Source organism: Homo sapiens, chromosome 17, assembly GCF_000001405.40.
Source record: "Homo sapiens chromosome 17, GRCh38.p14 Primary Assembly".
In the NCBI taxonomy this organism is placed as follows: Eukaryota; Metazoa; Chordata; class Mammalia; order Primates; family Hominidae; genus Homo; species Homo sapiens.
The window spans coordinates 64,170,405-64,187,452 of NC_000017.11; the positions used below are offsets into that span (position 1 = coordinate 64,170,405).

A 17,048-nucleotide genomic window follows, 5' to 3' on the forward strand; every position below is an offset into this window, starting at 1 on the left:
GGCAAGCGGCTAGGGCTGGGGCAGCTGCACCCGTGAGGGCCATGAGAGGTGAGCGGAACTGAAATCCAGCCACTGCCTCATGCCCTGGCAAGGGCTGCAACCCCTACAAAAGCACAGGCCCCATCAGCTGGCATGTGTGCATCACTGGGCTGGAGGAGGCCCTATAATAACCAAGAGACTAAAAGACTTAGGATGGGAGCTTGGATCTATTCCAAATCTTTTTTTTTTTTTTTTTTTTTTTTTGTGAGACAGAGTCTCGCTCTTGTCATCCAGGCTGGAGTCCAGTGGCACGATCTTGGCTCACTGCAACCTCCGTCTCCTGGGTTCAAGCGATTCTCCTGCCTCAGCCTCCTGAGTAGCTGGGATTACAGGCACCCGCCACCACGCCCGACTAATTTTTGTACTTTTTTAGTAGAGACGGTGTTTTGCCATGTTGGCCAGGCTGGCCTCGAATTCCTGACCTCAGGTGATCCGCCTGCCTTGGCCTCCCAAAATGCTGGGATTACAGGCGTAAGCCACCATGCCCGGCCCCAAATCAGTTTTAAGGCCATGACTGGTAAGAACAGAAAGACACTCAACATGAAACAGATGATTTAAAAAGTCCTCAACACCCTCCAAACACAAAGCCATCATGGTACTGAATCTGCAGCAAAGGATATATTTTAACACTCATAGAATGGTCAGTTAGGAGTTACCTTGGTGATCAACGTAAGGCTTGAAGGCCTGGAGGATTTTTGGCACAGCCACGCCCATGTCAAGTTCCGTCAGAGTGAGCTCATTCATAAAGTAGGGGAGCTAGAGGAAACAAGCAAACAATGAGTGAGACCCATGAGCAACCTACAAAACATGCTGTTGCAAGTCAACATGCTTCCGGAGAGGATGGTGGCCAAGGTTTTGGGGACATATCATTTATGTAACGAAAACGTAATGTGCACACATCATGTACTAGGCTTCGTACTCCAGACAGAGCCATGAAGAGGTCAGGCCAGGGCCTGGCTCTCACGGGGTTTATAATAGAAAGGCAGAAACAGGTAAATACATAGACAATATACTTCCAGAGAGTGATTAGTGCTGCAAAGAACATCAAGCAGGTAATGGGCAGAGGGAACACGGGGGTGGCTGTTTTGGCTGAGGAGGTCAGGGATGGCTTCCCTGAGGAGTGGCATTTGAGCAGAGGCCACCTATGGAGAAGGAGCCAGCCATGCTGGTTAACAGTACCCCACATTTGCTGAAGTATGGGAAAACAGACCTCTCTCAGACTCTCAGTGGGTAGTAAGAAACTGCTACAACAAGGTCAGGTGCGGTGGCTCATGTCTGTAATCCCAACACTTTGGGAGGCCAAGGTGGATGGATCACTTGAGGTCAGGAGTTCGAGACCAGCCTGGCCAACATGGTGAAACCCCAACTCTACCAAAAAATACAAAAATCCACCAGGCAAGGTGGCATGCACTTGTAGTCCCAGCTACTCGGAGAGGCTGAGGTGGGAGGATCACTTGAACCTGGGGGCAGAGGTTGCGGTGAGCTGAGAATGTGCCACTGCACCCCAGCCTGGAGGACAGAGCGAGACTCTGCGTCAAAAAAAAAAAAAAAAGAAAAGAAGAGAAATTGCTACATTTCCGATAGGCAAACTTACATGTGTATGAAAATCCTTGAAAAACAGCACATGCTGGCCAGGCGCAGTGGCTCACGCCTGTAATCCCAGCACTTTGGGAGGCCGAGGTGGGCGGATCACGAGGTCAAGAGATTGAGACCATCCTGGCTAACACGGTGAAACCCGTCTCTACTAAATATACAAAAAATTAGCCGGGTGTGGTGGCACGTGCCTGTAGTCCCAGCTACTCAGGAGGCTGAGGCAGGAGAATTGCTTGAACCTGAGAGGTGGAGGTTGCAGCAAGCCAAGATCGCACCACTGCACTCCAGCCTGGGTGACAGAGCGAGAATCCGTCTCAAAAAAAAAAAAAAGAAAAATAGCACATCCTTTGATCTCATGCTGAACATTTTCTGTTTGCCCTGCCAGATCTACACTCTATCCCCAGTGGTTGGTCTGCGTGAACTGTGCCAACGGTCTCTTTTACCCTCCAGCTTCTGGTTGGGCATGGCCAATGGGATACACCAATGGGCAGTTGATGGGGAGGCACACGGAGAAGAGTGTTGGGCATTTGTCCCCCCCATCTACTGAAGGCCACAGCTCCTGTAACACAGGAAGCCTCTCCACACAGCTGCCCTGTCCAAGTTCTCCTTGCCTTTGCTGCTCCAGAGAGAGTAACAGCTCCCACTTCTGCTAGTTCTGGAGTGTAGCACTCTCCCTACGAGTTTTTCTCCATCTGCCCACACCTTTATAAATCTTCCCTTCAGCAAACTCTCCCCAGAGTTACTTATCTGAGTGTGCCATCTGCTTCCTGCTGGGACCCTGACTAATACACACCCCCAAATCTATCCGTAGGAATTTATTCTACAGGAAATAACATAAGAATACTGGCATCATGTTTAAAAATTCCTACTTCATCTCAAGATTATAGAATTAATTCATCTATATTTTCTCTGCTTGGATTTGTGGATGTATATGTATTTCTTAAAATATTTATTCCATTCATAATTTTAATGTAAGATGTAAATTAGGGATCTAGTGTAATTTTTCCCCCAAATGGTTGGTCAGCAATCTCGACCTATTTATTCAGCAACCAACACTTGCCCTACTAATCTGTTCCGCCATCTTTAAGTGCTAAATTCCCACTGCACTGGAGTCTGTACTGAATTTCTACCAGTATCAAACTGCTTTGACTACTTTAGCTTTATAATATATTTTAGCTTTATAATACACTTTTAACTTTATAATATACTTTTAAATCTGGCAAGTCCCTCTCCTTTTTTTTTCTCCCAGAATTCTCTTAGTTATTTTCATAAGTATTTTTCCAGTTGAATGTTACAATAGTTTTATAAAATTTAGAATAAAATTAAGAGGTTTTTAAAAATTAAATGTAAACTAAATATTCCACATAAAATGAGGTAGCATCTAGTCAGGCATGAATTTAATACCTAACTTGGCTGGACCTCTTCAGCTGTTTCCCTGCAGAGAAACATAAGCTTTCAGGATTCACCAATCAGAGAATGTAATCTCTGATTTTTTGTGGAGGGGATGTTAAAAAGGTTATAATGTCTATGACGAACAAAACGTGAGTAGACAGTGTTCAAAGGCATAGTTTTGAATTGGTGTTTGCTATATTTGGAGAACCTTTTTCCAAAGCATCAATGTTATAAGTGGTATTGGCCTCTCTACCAACCTATAAAATGCTACTTGGCTAAGAATGTAACCAAAGTCTTGCACAATTGCCCTGTCCTTTTTGTCCACTACTGTCATTCAAATGCTGTGCTTCAGGAGCATGCCAAGTTAGAGAGACTTCCAAGGGTGAGCCAGGGAATACTGTCACCTCCAATGGTGTTTCTTTTCTTTTTTTTTTTGAAACAGGATTTCGCTCTGTCACTCAGGCTGGAGTGCAGTGGTGCAATCATGGCTCACTGAAGCCACAGCCTCCTGGGGTGAAGCGATCCTCCCACCTCAACCTTCTGAGTAGCTGGGACTATAGGCATGTACCACTACCACGCTTGGATAATTTTTTTTTTTTGTAGAGACAGGGTCTTACTATGTTGCCTAGTCTGGTCTCAAACTACTGGGCTCAAGATTTCCTCCACTTCGGCCTCCCGAAGTGCTGGATTACAGGCATAAGCCACCATGCCCAGACATCCAACGGTGTTTCTATGGGAATGTCAGTCTGACACTGAGCCACAGGAGTGAATAAAGAGACAGCAGGAACATAACTGTCCCTTCTCTTCCCCTGTCAACCACTACCTGCCATTCTGCAACCTCTAGTCCCTGCAAAGGCAAAGGAAGGACCTGAGACAGGACCTGAGACAAAGGAGGGACCTGAAGGACCTGGGGACTGAGGAGGACTTGGCAGGGGAAGGTGTCTACCTACTAGTAAGCAGAATGGGGAGGGGAGATCAGAGGGCCTGGTTTCCTATTTATTTGCCCATCTATCCAACCCGAAGACCCCAGAACATCTATAACCAACCCTCCAGCACTCATATACTCCCCTCCTAGTTCACATCCCTGCCCTTGAGCAGCCTTCTTCTGTTAAGGTCATTCCTCCTGTTCTTTTCGACAATAAACTGTTTTCTTCCCACCCAAAGGGTACCACAGTGAGACAGAAATCCAGGGGCACATTCTTTACCCTCTGGAGTAAACCCAATTAGGGACTAGGCATTCAAGGGTATGGGACGTTCTCAGGCTGGTGGGTGCTAAGTTAGAAGCTGTATGCGATCTCAGCAACATTTGCTGACACAGGCACAAGAGGCTCATAACCACTGAGGGCCCTAGGGCGGTTATCTGAGCAGCTGGCTAAGGCCAAGAGCACACTTACTACTGGGGCAGAAACTCAGCTTGTTTTAAACCCATCACTGGGCACCAGTTGCACACACAGGGCTGCTTTTTCACAACATGAGTCATGATCATGTGCAAGGCTGACAATCCGAGACTACAGGGCAAGGCCAGCAAAGAGTTCTCCATATGTCAGGCCTTCCAGGGAAACCAGGGGATCAGGGAGATCTGTGTCACAGGGGAAAGCTCAGGCTCCTCTAGATACCACTTCCCTATTCCCATTTTGGCTCTTGACTGGCTATTAACCAATACCCACTCACTACTAGGCTTAAGGCTTAGTTCCTCCCAGGGGTACTTGGATATTTGGTGGCAATCAGTTCTTTTCGTAGGGGCGGTGACAGCTTCAGAATTTGGTAATGTCCTTCTGCTTTCCTGTTTATTCTGTAACCAGGGGCTCCTCTGGTCTGCAGGCACTTCACAGTGCAGCAGATCAGGAGGCGGGTGGAGGGTATGGATGGAACACACTGAGGGAACACAATGCCCACCTCTAGCCTCTGGCACTGCTGGATCTAGGCCACACTTCTCCATTCTAACCTTTTAGTACTTCTGACCTCAAAAAACAAAAGGAAGTTTAAGTCTGTGAACTACCAGTGCCTCCATGATTATCAACGGGAGAAAATGAAAACAGACTTTCCCTCAACTTTCTCCAGGAGGACGGGGGCACCTTCACAAATAGGGCAGAGGCTCTGTGGACTTCCAGCTCAAGAGAGAAGGGTGGGACCTCTCAAACCAGTTTGGTTTTGTTGGTGTTGTTGTTGTTTTTAGAGATGAGAGTCTTGCTCTGTCACCCAGGCTGGAGTTTGGTGGTGCGATCATAGCTCAGAACTCCTGGGTTCAAGTCATCCTCTTGCCTCTGCAACCCAAGTATCTGGGACCACAGGTGTGCACCAGCACTCCTGGCTCAAGTCAGCTTTGGAATGCATGTAGCAGGGGAGCAGCATCCCACCTGGAGTTCAAGTATGTCCTGCTTTCTTTTTGCACACTGCCAAGAACTGCAGCCCTGCTGCTCAGGGAAGGGCCCCTCTTGCTTACAGAAGGGCTCGAGATAGACCCTGGGAAAAGAGCAGGGCCAGCCCTACCCATATGCCTTGACCTGGGAACTCAAGCCTTCCATCATTTCCAAAAATGGGGAGAGGCTGAGTGAGCTCTAGGTTGGCTGCTGACACTGCATCTCCCAACACAGAGGGTTACTGCTACTTGTTGTCTCCTGCTATGGAACTGGCTAGCAGAAGCACGTTCAACCCTCAAACTACCTCAGGAACACAAACAGGCTGACACCTGTCAACAGAGCCCTCCCCCAAAATCTGCCTTGAAATCCACCCTTCTGGCTCAGAAGGCAGCCCCTCCTTCCTCTTTCTCAGGAGCTGGGGAAGAAGGGACACTGGCCCACAGACAGCAGCCAGAGCTTGACAAGGCCAGGAAAAGCTCTGTTCTTTACCCAAAGGAACAAAAGAAATCAACCTGAAGCTCCTCTATGCCCATATTTTCCTTCTAATCTAGTTTACCGTAGTTCACAGTTTCTTAATCTAGAGTCCTTGAACTTTCTGAAATAATGGGCAAAATTTTGTGTCAACGTGTTTTTCTAGTGAAAGGATATCATAGGCTTCTGCTTCTCAAAAATGTCTCTGATCCATACAACTTCAGGGCTACTGACTTAAGCTACTGACTGTTCAGTGAAAATTTGGGATCCAAAGTGACTCTTCTTGGCTGGGTCTTCACTGGGTCAAAAAGTTAATTTTAAAGAACCTCAAGATCCTCAATAAGGTCTCCTGGTTGGCAAATGAGTCTTTTAATGACAGCCATACTTACACAGTTCAAACTCACTTCCAACTGGCCCTGGATTAGCACCAGAGTGTTTCTTCAGGAGAGAGCCCAAAATAAAGTACCATCTGGCCAAAAAGTAAAGGTCAAACACAGACACATTTAAAGTGCAATGCTAACTTTCCCAGCTTGAGAGGGAGCACAGCCTGGGAAAGAGGCCTTAAGTAGTCTGGTGTTTTCCTCAGTCAGTATACTAAGAGGCCTTAAGTAGTCTAGCATTTTCTTCAGTGAGTATACTAAGAGGCCTTAAGTAATTTGTATTTTCCTCAGAGGATATACCATGTGGCCTAGACTGCTGTGGGGCTGGGTGGGCTCTGGATGTACAATTTAAGTTCATTTCCAACTTAAAAATAACAATTATATAAGACGAATCGGTTATAAGAGCTCACATTTTCCCAAACTAAATTCTGGATTATCACCTGGAGTGGATAACAATGAGGGCAACACAAGAAAATGAGTAAACATTAATGTTCACTAAGCCCCCAGATGCAATTAATCATAAGGTCAGTCTGTGATCAAGGTCAGATGTGCTGTTTGAGAACTTACTACCCTCATATGTTATACGTTTAAACCAAATTATTTTTCACTTAGGACATAAGGGTACAAAATTTCCAGAAATGAAGAAGTATAGAGGATTAGAAGCCTCTTGTGTGGAAAGTGATACCTTTATTTTGCTGAGTTTCATTTGGATCTTCTTAGACACCAGATCAGACCAGTATTTCTCTCCTAAGAAGTCCCAAAATATTCTTCCAAGCAAGGCATTCACCCAGGCTTCCTGTTCTTCCTCCTCAGAGGGTGGAACCTCTGGCAACTGGCAAAAGAAAAGGGACCAAAATTAGCTAGAAAGCAACTGGAGAATAAGACAGGTGCTTATTTTTATAAAGTCACTGAAGGTCCCTCCTTATAGAAACAGGAGACCACACGAGTCATACTCCTTCCCTATAAATTACAAGTCCCACATTGTATTGGTGACTAGGAAAGGGGAGAAACGAAAGCTGCCATCACAGCTAAAACCTTCTCTTTGTCTGTTTTCTTTTTCTACCAGTCTTCCTGTAAACCAGCTAATATTTCATACTATTAGCTTAGCCAAACTGCTCTGCGTCCAAATTAGCTTGGTATCAACATTATGCATCAGTGACACATCTGATAAAATGCCTGCCCATCTTTCTTCAAGCTAAGGCTTGGACGTGTAATTGTCAAGCTGGTGCTCATCCGGGCAGACGCCACAGTTCCCCAATGGCCAGGACTCAAGTTCAGCCTGAACCCTGTGAGGTCAAAATATTCCCGGGATGCTTAAAAATACTGATGCCTGGATCCTACCCCCAGAGTCACTGATTTCAGTGGGCATCAGGAGTTTCAGATGCTCCCCTGGTAATGTAATGAACAGGCAAGACGATGAATCACAGATCTGGATTAGAGAGAGCTGCTCTCAGGGCTTCCATGAAACATCTACAGCTGTTCTCACCAATCTCGGCCCAGCGAAATACCCTGATCCTTACTTCCATTTGATACAATCCATCTGAAGCATCTGCTGTGGCCAATGTGTGAGGTGGGGGAGAAAGTAAACCCAAGTCTCCGATTTCCTTGGCTAATCATTAGACTGTGCACTCTGGCCTGGAGGGGGTCAGGGATGGAGATAAAGAAGGGTAAACAGCAGCACCCACAGACGGTGTTGTAAGGTTTATGTGGTTGGTGCAGGCACGGGCTGAGAGCTCAGTAATGTAGCAGCTGTCCACTGACCACATGCCAGCCCTATGGGCACATTCCTGTCTCAGGTCCACTCATGTCTCACAATACCCTGGAAAGACAGGAACTTTACTTCCATTTTAGAAATGAGTGCAGCGCCTGACACACAGTCCTGTTCTCCCATCCTCTATCTGCTCTGTCCTGTGTGTGGCGGTGGGGGTGGGGGAAGGGGAGCTGGCCCCCTGATATGGCAGACATTTTCCTGTGCTGAGGTCTCTAATTAGACTGTAGCCTTGCAGAAACAATGAGCTTTGGAAAGCAAAGATGAAAAGATTTAGAAATGCAGAATCTGTGAATTATTCCCCCTTTCCCCTCCCTCTATGGCTACTATAAGTGCATCTGTTCTGCCCTCATGGGCTGGCTGCAGCTATAACACACACCAGACACTCTCATCACCTCCACGCTTTGTGCTTGTGCATTCGTGCCAGTGCTATCCATTCTGAGCAGCTGTGACTGTGCCCACATTGAAGCTGTGTGCCTGGGTCAGTGCTGTGGTGCACACGTTGTTGCTTGGTGTGTATGGATTTGAATCTGCAGATCCAATTGTTTGTGAGTACTCCCAAGGTCTACAGCACATAGCTCCGTGCACTCATTCTGAAGCTTGGTGTTCACCAGTCACTGAGCTGTGCCTGAGCCAGCACACTGCTCAGTCCCACCCGTCTGCCAGTCTTGCTGAGAGGTGAGGCCAGCTAGACTTCCTGGGTGGAGTGGGGACTTGGAGAAATTTTCTTACAAGAGGATTGTAAAATGCACCAATCAGCACTCTGTAAAAATGTACCAATCAGCACTCTGTAGCTAGCAAAAGGATTGTAAAATGCACCAATCAGTGCCCTATAAAACGCACCAATCAGCGCTCTGTAAAATGTACCAATCAGCACTCTGTAAAATGCACCAATCAGCAGGATCCTAAAAGTAGCCAATCGCAGAGAGGATTGAAAAAAGGGCATTGTGATAGGACAAAAACAGAACATGGGAAGGGACAATAAGGGAATAAAAGCTGGCCACCCTAGCCAGCAGCAGCGGCAACCTGCTTGGGTGCCCTTACACAGTGTGGAAGCTTTGTACTTTTGCTCTTCACAATAAACCTTCCTACTACTCACTCTTTGGGTCCGTGCCACCTTTAAGAGCTGTAACACTCACCATGAAGGTCCGAGACTTCATTCTTGAAGTCAGTGAGACCACGAACCCACCAGCAGGAACCAACTCCACATACATTGCCACAGCCTGTGCCCTCTCTTGCTGGGGGCCTAGGGTTCGCTTACGTTTTTCAATCACATGTCACTGCATGACTTTATATTTTACAGGAGTCCTTCACATTTGAGTTTTCAAAGGTCTCCTTTATGAACGTTGGTGAGTCTCATTTAAAAAAAAAAATGGTTTAAAAAAGAAAGCATGCTGGTCAGCCCATTTCAGAAGACATGGATCTGCTTCACCCTTCTTAATGGACATGGATTATTCTCTCTGGGCTTTTCGAGTGCTGTGACGTTTTCTGTCATTAACCAAGACATTTTCCACCACTAGGTCCTGGATGGAAGGGCAAGAGTCTGCAGCGGTGAATGCTTGGCCATGCCATAACTTGCACTGTTTTTTTGAATCCCTTTTTTCTCTGACTGAACATCTCCTTCCCAGCCCCAAGGGTAATTCATTCAGCTTTTCTGAGGTTACTGTCTTTGAGTCCCATCCGATTATTTATACAGACTTCTGCATAAACACTCATCCAAGGGCAATGACCACCTGGCCCCTCAGACAGTACTAAGTTGCTGCCCACGTAAGACACCACGTGTCTTATTTTAGATTTGTAGGTTATACAAGAGAATAAGTTACTTTTTCCCTTCCCTAGAGGGAGCATCTACCCTTTATTAGCCTTTCTTTACAACCCTAGTTACTCACAGGAAACAGTTTTAGCACAAAATAGCAAGAAACAAAGGCTATTTCACAATGTATGTCCAAGCCAATGGCATATGATGTGGTAAACAAATTTCTGAAATAACCGACAAGCAGGTTGTTTTTTCAACAGTTCCTTTTTCCAAAATAAGCTTCTCTCCACAGACTCATTGGGAACAAAGAAAAATTCCAGAGCAGAACATCGATAATGCATCAAAGAAGCTTTTATGAGCAAAACCTGGATTCAACAGCCTGCTAGGAAGGCCCAACGAATGTCATAAAAATTTAAGAGTTTAAAGAAACAATGTGCATACATTTCCTAATATTGCCATTTGGCTATAGGATGAAATGTGTGGAGGATATTCATTTCGCTGTCTCAACTGTATAAACACACTAAGAAATGGTAACTTTCCAAAAATGGCTTCCAAATAAGTGTAGAGAAAATTCAATGGTTTGAAGCTGAAGCAAGCCCATCAAAACTGCGTCACTCTTGGGATATGTGTTATTTAAAACTAACCTCTAAAACTAAAGTAGGACAGATTTACTGAAGTCTGTGGTGTAACATTTCCTATTACAAATGGCCAGGAGGCCAGCCCAGTTTTTCTATTACAAAGAGTGTGTAGTGCCCCCACTCCTTTTTGGCCGCACCCAGTGTACCGCCAGGGGGGTTGCACAAGGGACAGTGTGGTCCAGGAGATGACACAGCGGAGGACCCTACTCCTGTGTGTTTCTTTCCCTTGATTATAAAAACAATGCATATTCACTGCAGAAAACACCCATAAACCTGCTACTCAGATTTAAAACATTTTAAACATTATTTAAAACAGTTTTACTATATTTTCTTTCAGTCTCTTTTCAGTGTATATATACATTTAAGAATACAGAACTTTTAAAAAGCAAAATTAGGCCGGGCGTGGTGGTTCATGCCTGTAATCCCAGCACTTTGGGAGGCCAAGGCGGGCAAATCACGCAGTCAAGAGATTGAGACAATCTTGGCCAACATGGTGAAGTCCCGTCTCTACCAAAAATACAAAAATTAGCTGGGTGTGGTGGTGCGTGCCTATAGTCCCAGCTACTCAGGAGGCTGAGGCAGGAGAATCGCTTGAGCCCAGGAGGCAGAGGTTGCAGTGGGCCGAGACCGTGCCACTGTACTCCACCCTGGCCACAGAGCAAGGCTATCTCAAAAAAAAAAAAAAAAAAAAAAAAAAGCAAAATTAGATCTGGCTACATGGTTTTGTATTCTTTGAGAAGGAGTCTCGCTCTGTCGCCCAGGCTGGAGTGCAGTGGCGCGATCTCGACTCACTGCAAACTCCGCCTCCCAGGTTCAAGGGAGGCTACCTCAGCCTCCCAAGTAGCTGGTATTACAGGCATTCACCACCACGCCTGGCTAATTTTTTGTATTTTTAGTACAGACGGGGCTTCTCCATGGTAGTCAGGCTGGTCTCAAACTCCCAACCTCAGGTGATCTGCCTGCCTCGGCCTCCCAAAGTGCTGAGATTACAGGTGTGAGCCACCATGCCCGGCTGGTTTTGTATTTTTTTTTTTTTTTACAGTTTTACTTAGATATAATTCATAGATCATACAATTTTTCCATCCTTCCATAGCTGCTGTGGAAAACAGTATTGCGGTTCCTTAAACAATTTAAACAGAATTACCCTTAAGATGCACTAATTTCACTTCTGGCTATATACCCCAACAAATTTGAAAGCAGGGTCTCAAAACAAGATATGTGTACACTGATGTTCAGAGCAGCATCATTCACAATAGCTAAAATGTGGAAGCAAGCCAAGCACCCACCGATGGAGGAATGGATAAGCAAAATGGCGTACGTACACAATGGAGCATGATTCAGCCTCAAAAAGGAAGGCGATTCTGACTTACGCTACCACATGGATGAATCTTGAGGTCATTAGGCTAAGTGAAATAAGTCAGTCACAAAAAGACAAATACTGTATAATTCTACTTATATGAGGTACTTAGGATAGTCAAAATCCGAGAGACAGGGAATGGTGGTTGCCAGGGGCTGGGAGGAGGGGGACAGGGGAGTTACTGTTTAATGAGTATAGAGTTTCAATTATACAAGTTGAAGAGAATGGTGGGGGTCAATGCATAACATTATGAATGTATTCAATTCTACTGAACTATACATTTTAAAATGATTAAGATGGCAAACTTTATGTATTTTACCACAAAAATAATTTTTAAAAATAGAGTACATTCAATAGTTTTCAGTATATTGAGAGTTGTGTAGCTATCACCACAGTCAATTTTAGAACATTTTCGTCACTCCCCAAATAAACCCTGTACCCATTAGCAGTCACTCCCTATTCCTCCCCAACTCCTCCCCATCCCCCTGCCCACCAGTCTAGGAAACTAGTTTGTCTCTATGAATTTGCCTATTCCAGACATTTCCTATAAATGAAGTCATACAATGTGTTCTTTTGTGACTGACTCCCCTCACTAATGTTTTCAAGGCATATCCATGTTGTAGCAGTGCGTCCTTTTTATTGCATAATAAACTTATTTTTATTGCATAATAATATTATCATCTATGCATATACCACACTTTATCCACTCACCAGTTAATGGAAATATGGGTTGTTTGCCACTTTTGTTGTGTTTTTTTTTTTTTTAAAACAGAGTCTTGCTGTGTCATCCAGGCTGGAGTGCAGTGGTGTGATCTCGGCTCACTGCAACCTATGCCTCCTGAGTTCAAGCCATTCTTGTGCCTCAGCCTCCCGAGTAGCTGGGACTACAGGCGTGCACTACTACGCCCGGCTAATTTTTGTCTTTTTAGTAGAGATGGGGTTTCGCCATATTGGCCAGGCTGGTCTTGAACTCCTGGCCTCAAGTAATCCACCCACCTCAGCCTTCCGAACTGCTGGGCTTACAGGCGCAAGCCACTGTGCCCCACCATTTTCCACTTTTGGCTATTGTGAATAATGCTACTATAAATATTTGTGTACAAGTGTTTGTGTAAACATGTATTTTCATTTCTCTTGGATATATATTTAGGAGTGGAACTGCTGGCTCATATGGTGACTCTGTTTAACTTTTTGAGGAAATACCAAACTATTTCCCACAGTGGCTGGACTATTTTACATTCCTGCCAGCAACGTATGAGGACTCCAATTTCTTTCTTTCTTTCTTTTTTGAGGCAGAGTCTCACTCTGTTGTCCAGGCTGGAGTGAAGCGGCATGATTTTGGCTCCCTGTAACCTCTGCCTCCCAGGTTCAAGTGATTCTCGTGCCTCAGCCTCCCCAGTAGCTGGGATTACAGGCATGCGCCACCATGCCTGGCTAATTTTTTGTATTTTTAATAGAGATGGGATTTTGCCATGTTGCCCAGGCTGGCCTCAAACTCCTGAGCTCAGGCAGTCCACCCGCCTCGGCCTCCCAAAGTGTTAGGATTATAGGCGTGAGCCACCGCACCCGGCCAAGGATTCCAATTTCTCTACATCCTCACTAATACTTGTTATCATCTATCTTTTTAAAAATTTTTATTATTTATTTATTTATTTGGTAGAGATGGAGTTTTGTCATCTTGCCCAGGCTGGTCTCGAACTCCTGAGCTCAAGTGATCCATTCGCCTCAGTCTCCCAAAGTGTTGGGATTACAAGTGTGAGCCACCACTGTGCCTGGCCACCATCTGTCTTTTTCATTGTGGCCATCTGGGTGGGTGTGAAGTGACATCTGACTGTGGTTTTGATTCACATTTCCTTGATGACTAATGATACTGAGCATCTTTTCATGTGCTTGCTTATTTGGGCGTTAGTGTATCTTCTTTGGAGAAATGTCTATTCAGATCCTTTACCCTTTTATTTTTTGAGACAGGGTCTTGCTCTGTTGCTCAGGTTGAAGTGCAGTGGTGCAATCACTAATCACTGCAGCTCTGACCTCCCTGACTCGAGCAATTCTGATTCAGCCTTCTGAGTAGCTGGGACTGCAGGCACATGCCACTATGTCTGGCTAATTTTTTTTTTCTTCTTTTTTGTAGAGATGGAGTCTCAATATGTTGCCCAGGCTGGCCTCAAACTCCTGAGCTCAAGTGATCCTCCTGCCTTGGCCTCCCAAAGTGCTCAGATTATAGGCGTGAGCCACTGCACCCAGCCCCGTTGCTTAATCTGGTTATTTATCTCTTTGTTATTGAGTTGTAAGAGTCCTTTATACATTTCTAGGTACCAGTCCTTTATATTTCTAGGTACCAGAACCTTATCAGATAAATGATTCGTAAACATTTTCTCCCATCCTGTGGGTTATCTTTTCACTGTCTTGATGGTATTGTTGGCAGCACAAAAGTTTCTAATTTTGATGAAGTCCAATTTACCTATCTTTTCTTTGGTTGCTTATGCTTTTAGTATCTTAGCTAAGAAGGTTTATCGAACCCAAAGTCACAAATTTTACTCCTGAGAGTTTTATGGTTTTAGCTCTTACATTGAGGTCTATGATCCATTTTGAGTTAATTTTTATGTATGGTGTGAGGTAGAGGGCCAGCTCCATTCTCTTGCCCATAGATATCCAGTTGTTCCCGCACCTTTGTTGAAGAGACTATTCTTTCTCTCCACTGATTTGTTTTAGCACTCTTGTCTGAATTCTTTTTAAAATTTATTTTTAAATTGGATATATAGCTTCATTTTTTAACTTAGTGCAACAAAAACATTTTCCAATTCAACTTCTAAGTGTTTAAAAAGCCTACTTTGTGGGGGTAGCAAGGGAAGCCCTGGAAAACTATTCTGCCAGTTACAGACTTCCTGGTTTCTATTTGACTCCTATTTGCTCTGTAACATTCTCATCTTCTGATAACACCAAACAGGTAATAATATCTTGTAATCCAGTTTATAGATATGAGATGATGAGCACGACGAGTAGTAATAAGGACAGGACTCTCCATACCGGGGTGGCATATGTTAATATTATCTCTAACATTTTTTAAAACTGTCTGTTGAAATGGAGAGTGGAAGTGCCTTATGCAACCTGAACACCAGAGCCTCACTACTGGAGGACAGGAACCATGGCCTCTCTCCCAGGCAGGCAATGCAGGGCACACAGAACCAGCAGCCTCCCTGGACTCACACCCCTGAGCAAATCTGCAGCTGACCTGTGGAGTCTCTCTTCCTGATGTACCCATGCTGGAAGTGGTACCATTGCACTTTCAGACATTTTTTAAAAAAGAGTTCCCTTGTTTCCTGAATTAAATCCCCTTCCAAACCAGGCACTAAACATTTGGAAAACTAGGCCCTTGCCCCCCAAAATAGTGATATTTTCTAATTCAAATTTTCAGCACCACTGCACTCCAGTCTGGGCGACAGAGTGAGACTCCAACTAAAAAAAGAAAAAAAAAATTTCATCAGAGGCCAGGCACAGTGGCTCACGCTGTAATTCCACCACTTTGGGAGGCCGAGGAGAGTGGATCACCAGAGGTCAGGAGTTCAAGACCAGCCTGGCCAACATTGTGAAACTCCGTCTCTACTAAAAATACAAAATTAGCCGGACGTGGTAGCGTGTGACTGCAGTCCTGGCTACTCAGGAGGCTGAGGCAGAAGAATTGCTTGAACCTGGGAGGCGGAGATGGCAGTGAGCCAAGATCACGCCATTGCACTCCAGCCTGGGGAAAAAGAGCAAAACTCCATCTCAAAAAAAAAAGTCATCAGACTTAGAAGAGGGAAAAGAAATGTCTGGGTGCTTAAAGGGTAAGTGCCAGGTGGCTGGAACAAGAGAGCCCCTGACAGCAATGCTGGGCTGTGACATCAGGGACCCCAGTGAACATAGCATACAATATGCACATGTAACACAAACCAAGGAAACAAAGCTCTAAAATCAGGTTTGTTTTTTAATTTGGGGAAATCTTTCAAAAGGAAGCATTTTATTGGATAATTTTCTTAACGTCAGTGCACAATTCTCCTCTTGATTTTCTTGAGTCTGATGAGAGTCCAGACAGCTGACAGCCTCGCATTTGGAGGGAGGGGAAACTCACCAGTGGTAAACAGGACCATTTGTAGAAAAGTTTTATATCACCCCACTCTTGCCTAGAGGGAGGTCTGCTTCCCACTAAAGCTGGGGTGACTCAGTGCAGAGGTAGTGGGTCGCAGGCCAGCAGAGGCATATGGTCTTTTATTGCCCTGACAAATTCAAACAGATCAGGTGAGTGACCTCTTCCACACTGAAGAGGATCAACGGATCAAGAGCAATGGCTTGCTTCTCATTAAGAACAGAAATACACATGGTCATTGTAAGAGGTCAAACACAGCCAAGGGCGGTGGCTCACGCCTGTAATCTCAGCACTTTGGGAGGCCGAGGCAGGTGCATCTCTTGAGCTCAGGAGTTCAAGACCAGACTGGGCAACATGGTGAAACCCCATCTCTACAAAAAATACAAAAATTAGCTGGGCATGGTGGCACACACCTGTAGCTCCAGCTACTTGGGAGGCTGAGCCCAGGAGGGTGAGAGGATCACTTGAGCCCAGGAGGTCGAGGTTGCAATGAGCCATGTTCACGACACTGCACTCCAGCCTGGGTGACACTGCGAGACCTTGTCTCAAAAAAAAAGAGGTCAAACACCTGGATATGAAAGAGAGGTTAAGTGTCCCCCAGGCAGAGACTGTGACTCTGAAGAGTGTGCAAAGTAGAGGCAGGAGGCCTCAGGCCAAGCAGGCTTTCAGAATAACCCAGCAAAATAGTCTCAGCGAGCCAAGGGGCCCCTGGGTTCTCAGGTGAGGTTTGCACACTCCATCACTTAGCAACTGTGTGACTAGGCTACCTAACTTCATCAAGCCTCAGTTTCTCCGCTTACAAAATGGAGACAATCCTGTCTAGTTTGCAGGACTGTTCAAGAGAGCAGAGTAATTCTATTAAAGTGCCTAACAGAGCCTGGCATCTGGCAGCTTACAGGAGTTATCTTATCAGAGATGATCCTAAGTCCGTGTCCGGTTACACTTTGTAAAGAATGTTCATGGTAAATCTTCAAAAGCACTGGGCATAGCCGAGGAGACTGAGAATTTGAAAATACAATGGTTTTGGAGGAATGAGACCTGAATCACCAGTGATTCTGCAACAACCCCTAGTGATCATCCAGTTGCTCAGGTCAAAGTGCAAATCTTGGCCTCTGCGTTCTCTCACGTCAGCAAATCCAGCCAGCGCCTCCTGCCAAGCACACCCCAGCCGAGC

The 17,048-nt window shown here is 45.2% G+C and overlaps 1 protein-coding gene across 13 annotated transcripts in view; it reads right to left on the minus strand.

Annotated features, from left to right (window-relative positions):
- TEX2 (testis expressed 2) overlaps positions 1 to 17,048 on the minus strand; it is a 116,034-nt gene that overhangs the window by 23,178 nt on the left and 75,808 nt on the right. For all 13 annotated transcript variants that reach the window (XM_017024846.3, NM_001288732.2, XM_011525000.3 and 10 more), the window contains exons 6-7: positions 6,921 to 7,067; positions 696 to 795 (exon numbers count right to left, since the gene is read on the minus strand). In XM_017024846.3, coding sequence (XP_016880335.1) covers positions 696 to 795; positions 6,921 to 7,067 — 247 coding nt within the window. The remainder of the gene's footprint in view (positions 1 to 695; positions 796 to 6,920; positions 7,068 to 17,048) is intronic.